At 36.5% G+C, this 7,738-nt stretch overlaps 1 pseudogene; it reads right to left on the minus strand.

Moving 5' to 3' along the window:
* On the minus strand, positions 5,820-5,922 carry RNU6-715P (RNA, U6 small nuclear 715, pseudogene; annotated as a pseudogene).

A 7,738-nucleotide genomic window follows, 5' to 3' on the forward strand; every position in this document is an offset into this window, starting at 1 on the left:
ATCCCACTTTTATTGAATTAATTAATTAGGTTCAAATTAAGTAATTCAGCTCTAAAAAACTGTCGACAGTAAATTAAAAACAATAAATTTTTCCAATGAAATTTTATTGAGTTAATTTTTGTAGTTTGCTATTTCCAAGCCAATTAAAGTGTTATCTGTTTTTAATCAGCTTTACTGTCTCTTAATTTTCCTTAAAATTTTCTTTGGGGTTTTCCAGGTTTTGTCCACTTGGTTGGAAATGAAGTGATTTCTCTACATAGTCCCTAATGTCTAAATTATGAAATAGTAGTTCTGTTTTTAAGTTTTTAACTTCTTTAAATTGAGAAAGTATATATTTTAAATAGATTATCTTCTATAAATAATAATCAGTGCTTTCATCTGTCAAAGTCATGTTGAAAATTTCTTTCCAACCTGATTCTTAATGACATCTCCACCTTTCCGATAGAATTTATTATTAAGGAGGGAAATCCCACCACAACAGTAACTTCAGACCTCTCTTCTTTGTGGAGATAGCCTGAGGTATAAATTCAACATGCAAATCATTCTTTTCATTACCTGCCTGTTAAAACAGAATAAAAGTTAAAGACAATGAATTTCTGCAGGAAACATCAAAGTTAAATATACTCATCGACAGACATTGAATAAAATCAAATACAAAAAAACTGAAGGCTAAGTTGTTATAAACATCAGTTGGCATGCCTTAAAATCCATGGTGGTCTAAAATTGCCGCTTTATATTTCAAAGGATCTGAATAAAGACAGTTTCACAGTTGCTCCCAAGTCTTCACATCTGAAAGAATCCTTTTACAGATCTAAAATGGACTGATTTGATATGTATTACAGGGCCGTCATGGTCTTGCAAGAAATCAGTGATTTACATTTGTAACCATATTTCCAAATGTGAATATCTTTTTTATGAGGTGGGGGGATGTGAGGGGTACATAGACCATTCACAGCTGTTTTTGTCGAGCAGTTGCTTTTTATTTGTGTCCATTACTGAATTTAATGCTTTCTGCCATTTCCATACTTGTTACTAGTTTTTTTGTGTGTGTTATTGTTGTTCTGATTAAAAGCATGCATTACATTCTTTCTAAATTATGTGTCACTTTGTTGTGAGTGTTATATCTGGCAATTTAATAGTCTACGAACAGGAAAGCTTTGAAATGACTCTCCTCTGTCCTTTGGCATAAACCAATTACCAGGATTTAAACTTATCTGACAAAAACCACAGTGACAGATCTGAGAACAAAGTGGTTTTGAATCGTTATTTTTTTGATCTTTAACCTTTCCTGTTTTCTATAACCAGATGTTGTAAAGTACAGTATGTGATCATGAAAATAGTATCGCCTTTTCTTATTTCCTTAATAAAAAGTGTGTCTTCCAGACTTTCCTATTTGCTTTAGTGATGAACAATAGCTTAACTTCTTTTGCATGAACTACCTCTGATGGCTGCAATAGCCTTAGAGATACACATACAAAAATGTCAGAACCAAGATGGAGTCCTAAAAACAGAATTTGATTCTTGAGGAAACATATGCAATTGTTTTTCAAGTTTTCTTTAAAGGAAAGGAATTTAAAGCAGAAATACTTTTTCTTAAAACTATCTGGGATGTATCAAATCAGGTTAAGAATGTGAAACTCACCAGTTTCTCTGCAGAATGTTACAGTGTTTTGTTAGCTGTGGACAACTATTATTCATTATACATCTATAGAAGCATTATTAAGGCTCTACTTGGTACCAAAAGAATACACAGAAAATGTAGTATGTGCTCCCCAGGCACTCGTTCAGCGAAGCAGCTCCCGGGCAATTTGACACAGTAACAAAAGTAGACTAATTTTTTTCCCCAACCATATATTGCCCCAAAGTTGACATCATTTTCCCAAGCCATGAAAGCGTTGAAAGACTAAAAGATATACCTGGCTAATAGCATATGAACTAAAATAATGAAAAGCACTTTTCTTTGGTTATTCTCAAACAGACCATAAATATTTACATCCCATTATAAAACACCTTAACAGCTTGGTGAGATTGAATGCAATAGCACTTAATGCAATATAACTCTAAACACTTTATAGCTTCAATGGACTTTATAACTACACCTTAGTTTGTCATACAGGAAGATCTGTGAGTTGACTGGTTAATGTTCTTTGTTTTAAAAACATGCAAAAGCAACACTATGTGCACTATATGGACAGTATTTTCTAAAATACCATCTATATTTTACATATAGTTTCACCCAAAAGACCACGTGAGCCCTCAAGAAATAAGACAAAGGCATTACATTTTGCTTCCTGAGTGTGATTGTGCCAGTTTTCTACACATCTTATAAAAAGGAAAATGCATATGCTTAATGCAAAGCACTGTATGTCTCATGAACCTCAAATTTAAATAGTGCTTTATGGTTCACCAAGCATTTTCTCATTATTTTCTTATTTGAACATCAAAACAATCCTCTAACATAAGTAACAAGAGAAAGGAAGAATGCAGTGCAAGAGGGAGAGAATGGATATTTATTGAGCACCTACTATGTACCAAATACCATTGGAATGTGGCATTTATTCATTGGTGGCATTCTAACAACCACATGAGATACATGTTTTCATCTTGCAGATGAGGGTCTGAAAGATTAATTATCTTAGTCAGTGTTATATAGGTAATAACAGTGGAGCTGGGGTTGAATCCCAAGTCCCATTCCAAAAAGAAAATATTCTTCCTTCTGTTCAAGTAGCCACCAATGTTGACTCTTGAACAACTCTGAGATTATGGTATTCCAAAATTTTGCTGTTATAGTATCCTTTCCTTTATGAAGTATCAAAGCTTTTTGAAGTATCCTTTAATGATTGCTCTTTGAAGTATCCTTTTTTTGGCAAAATAAAATACTGGGGAGCCCATATTAGTCTCCCATCTTTCCTTTTGATTCTACAGGACGATGAAGCACAGAACTCTGTAAACAAGTGTATTCTGGTTTTCTCCATACAATGATCTAATTTAGTCCTACCAAGTATGATCACAGAACACCGTCCTCTACATGTCTAGACAAATGGGATGGGGAAGAGAGAGTCAAAATCTCTTTGGTTCATGAGCAATATATGAATGATTCACAAGCAGATAAACAAAGATAGATTACCTTTCAACCCATTTACTACTATCCCAGTTACTTACTATCTATTAATACATGTGAGAGGAGGACAGAGGTTACTGTATCAAGGAGTTATCTAAATGCTTTTCTTCATTTTTTGTCTGCTGGCCCAATGGATCTCAACTATATTCTTCAGACCCCAAGAGTTCTGGGGCAGCACCTTAGGACCCATTAAGTGGCAATGGTAGGAGGTAAAGGGAGAGTGCAGTTCAATACTGTCAGCAATATTTTAGCTACTTCACATATGCAGGTTTCATTTTATGATTTCTTTTAAGAAAGACCTTTGCAATACATGAGCACATATGTATATATATAAATAAAGATAGATAGATAGACACTGAAAACCACTACCCTTGGCTCAATGCTTATCCATCCCCACATGCCAAAAAAAAGTCTACAAACCTAGTAATACGGTTTAGCAAATGATTTGTAATATTTCAAAATTACAGTCAATTTTAGTGCAATGAATTAACTTTTAAAAAGGTGATTTGTGATTGAATGTTTCCTTAACCTGCTTTAGAGAAAATAAATGTATGATTTACATCTCAGGGTCCTCAGAATATCTGGCCAGCAATTACATAGGTTTTTATAATGACAAAAAAGAATAAAGAAATTAATTAACAGAGGCAAACCTTGTTTTATTGTGTTTCTCTTTCCTGTACTTCACAGATGCTGCATTTTTTGCAAATTGATTTGTGGCAACCCTGCGCAAGCAAGTCTATCGGTGCCACTTTTCCAACAGCATGTGCTCACTTTCATGTCTCTGTGTCATATTTTGCTAATTCTTGCAATATTTCAAACTTATTGATTATTATTACATCTGTTATGGCTATCTGTGATCAGTGATCTTGGCTGTTACTATTGCAATTGTTTGGGGGCACCACAAACCGTGCCCACATAAGATGGCAAACATAATCAATCAATGTTGTGTGTGTTCTGGCTTCTCCATGGACTGATCATTTTCTTTCATCTCTCTCCTTCTCTTAAGGCCTCCCTATTACCAGAGACACAATAATATTAAAATTAGCTCAGTTAGTAACACTACAATTACCTCTAAGTGTTCAAGTGAAAAAGAGTCACAGGTCTCTCACTTTTCATCAAAAGCTAGAAATGATTTTTGATTTTTGAGGAAGGCATATCAAAAGCTGAGACAGGCCAAAAGCTAGGCTTCTTGTACCAATTAGCCAAATTGGAATGCAAAGGCAAAGTTCTTTAAGGAAATTAAAAGTGCTACTCCAGTGAACACATGAATGATAAGAAGGCAAAACAGTTTTGCTGCTGATATGGAGAAAGTCTAAAAGGTCTAGATAGAAGATCGAACCAGCCACAACATCAGAGCAAAGCTCTAACTCTCTTCAATTCTACGAGGGCTGAGGAAGCTGCAGAAGAAAAGTCTGAGGCTAGCAGAGGTTGGTTCACGAGGTTGAAGGGAAAAAGCCATCTCCATAACATAAAAGTAAGGGGTAAAGCAGCAAATACCGATGGAGAAGCTGCAGCAAGTTATTCAGATCTAGCTAAGATCATTAACAAGGGTGGCTACATCAGATTTTCAATGTAGATGAAACAGCTTTAAGTTAGAAGATGCCATGTAAGACGTTCATAGTTAGAGAGGAGAAGTCAATGTCTGGCTTCAAAGCTTCAAAGGACAGGCTGACTGCATATTTGAGTCAAATACAGCTGGTGACTTTAAGTTGAATCCAATGATCTTTTACCATTCCAAAAGATCATTGGATGCAATTTAAAGTCACCAGCTGCATTTAGGGCTCTTACGAATTATGCCAAATCTACTCAGCCCGTGCTCTACAAATGGAACAAAAAAGCCTGCATGACAACACATCTGTTTATAGCATGGTTTACTGAATATTTTAAGCCCACTCTTCAGACTGTTTAGACCTACTGCTGAGAAAAAAAAGATACATTTCAAAACATTACTAATCATTGACAATGTACCTAGGCATTCAAGAGGTGTCATGGAGATGTACAAGGAGATTAATGTTGTTTTCACGTCTGCTAACACCACAACTATTCTGCAGCTCAGGGATCAAGGAATAATTTTGACATTCAAGTTTTATTAATTAAGAAATACATTTCATAAGGCTCTAGCTGCCAAAGATAGTGATTCCTCTGATGGATCTGGGCAAAATATACTGAAAACCTCCTAGAAAGGATTCACCATTCTAGATGCCATTAAGAACATTTGTGATTCATGGGAGGGGGGCAAATATCAACATTAACAGGAGTTTGGAAGAAGTTGATTCCAATCCTCATGGATGACTTTGAGGAGTTCAAGCCTTCAATAAAGAAAGTAACCACAGATGTGGTAGAAGGAGCAAGAGAAGTGGAACCTGAAGATATGACTGAATCGCTGCAATGTTATGACAAAACTTTAATGGATGAGGGGTTGTCTCTTATAGATGAGCATATGTCTCTTATGGTTTCTTGGGATGGAATTTCCTCCTGGTGAAGATGCTGTGAACATTGCTGAAATGACAACAAACGATTTAGAATACTCCCCAAACTTAGTCGATAAAGCAGCAGCAGGCTTTGAGAGGATTAACTCCAATTTTGAAAGAAGTTCTACTGTGGGTAAAATGCTATGAAGCAGTATTGTATGCTACATTCCTTTTGTGAAAGGACGAGTCAATCAATACAGTAAACTTTATTGTTGTCTTTTTTAAAAAAATCTATGGAATGCTTCATGAATTTGCACGTCATCTTTGTGCAGGGACTATGCTAATCTTCTCTGTATTTTTCCAGTTTTAGTATATGTGCCGCCAAAGCAAGTATTGTGTTGTCTTATTTTAAGAAACTGCCACAGCGAGGCCGGGCGTGGTGGCTCATACCTGTAATCCCAGCACTTTGGGAGGCCGAGGCAGGCAGATCACTTGAGGTCAGGAGTTCAAGACCAGCCTGGCCAACATGGTGAAAACCGGTTTCTAATAAAAATACAAAAATTAGCTGCGTGTGGTGGTGTGTGCCTATAATCCCAGCTACTCAGGAGGCTGAGACAGGAGAATCACCTGAACCCGGGAGGCGGTGGTTGCAATGAGCCGAGACTGCACCACTGCACTCCAGCCTGGGCTACAGAGCAAGACTCCATCTCAGAAAAAAAAAGAAATTGCCACAGCCAAACCACCCAACCTTTAGCAACCACTGCCCTGATTAGTCAGCAGCCAGCAACATTGAAGTAAGACCCTCCACCCTCCACCAGCAAGATATCATGACTCACTGAAGGCTCAGGGGATCATTGGCATTTCTTTTTTTAGCAATGAAGTACGTTTTAATTAACGTATGTATGTTGTTTTTTAGGGAAAATGGCATTGCACACTTAAAAGACTATAGTATAGTGTGAACACAACTTTTATATGCACTGGGAAAGCAAGAAATTTGTGTGACTTGCTTTATTGCAGTGGTCTTAAACCAAACTTGCCATATCTCTGAGGTATATCTGTATTTTAAATAAAGAGGTTGGTTTGAAAGAACAAACTGATTCAAAGCATGGAACCTATACTGAAAGAAAGGTCATTACAAAGTTGTCAGATTTTTCCCCATCAGGCTTTTTGCCTTCTCAGCACTCTAATTTCGACAACCTCTCTTGATCCTCACTAAACTCCAAAAGTTACATAGAGCATGCAGTACTGTTAGATGCAAAAATCAGCATCCAGAGTCTTCTGACTAGGTCTTCTGACATGTGACAGAGCCAGGAATCCTGGACCTGTGCTCCATCCACTAATATTTGTCTAAGGGCTGATAGAAATTCCCGCCTTTGCAGAAACAAATAAGTATCTAACAGTGCCACTTAGCCATAAAATTGGATTAAAGGTTAATATTAATGAATTCATATTAACAGTGCTGACAGTAACTATACTACTTGACAGATATTTAATATGAGTATCACAAGCCATATGTGAAGAATACTGTTAAAATAATTATATTAGGATTTCACAGCATCCACCATCAGGATTTCTTCTCTGACAACAAAAAAGAAAACCTTTTCTACCCTGAGCAAGGTAAATGTCACTGAAAGTCTTGCTGTCTGGACTTGACTTCTATTTGTGACACTCATGATTTGAGAGTTCAAAAGCATTTTTAAAGTATTTCTCTTTTAGAGAAAAGGAAGGAAACTCATATTTTTGAATGTCTTACTATGTGCTAACCTAATTTAATCTTCATGAACTCTAATATGCAGGGGATATCAGTGAGTTTTGAATTTAAGGTTATTTTTCTGTTGTTTTTGTGGTAGTGGTCATTCTAGCATGGTTGATCAGTTGTGTCATTCTGAAGCAGCCATTGCTGAAGAGGTCTTTTGATTGCTGAAACAGTAGTACAACCTCTCACTGCTGTCCTGTCTGTGAGGACACTCACCCATCTAGTTCCAAAGCAACTTTTTCGTATACCATTTCACCTCTCTTTGCAACCATGTGATGACATAGACAATGTCCAAATCCCTCTTTCCTGAGAGATTGGCTAGGGCAATCATTGAGGGCTATAAGAATACAGTAAGAATTGATGAAATTAAGAATACATCCAGAACCAAGAGTTAAGTAGACCAGAAAGCTAGAAAAGGAAATACAAATGAACCACCCAACTAAGTGGTGT

The sequence above is a fragment of the Homo sapiens genome, chromosome 2 (genome assembly GCF_000001405.40).
Source record: "Homo sapiens chromosome 2, GRCh38.p14 Primary Assembly".
NCBI lineage: Eukaryota > Metazoa > Chordata > Mammalia > Primates > Hominidae > Homo > Homo sapiens.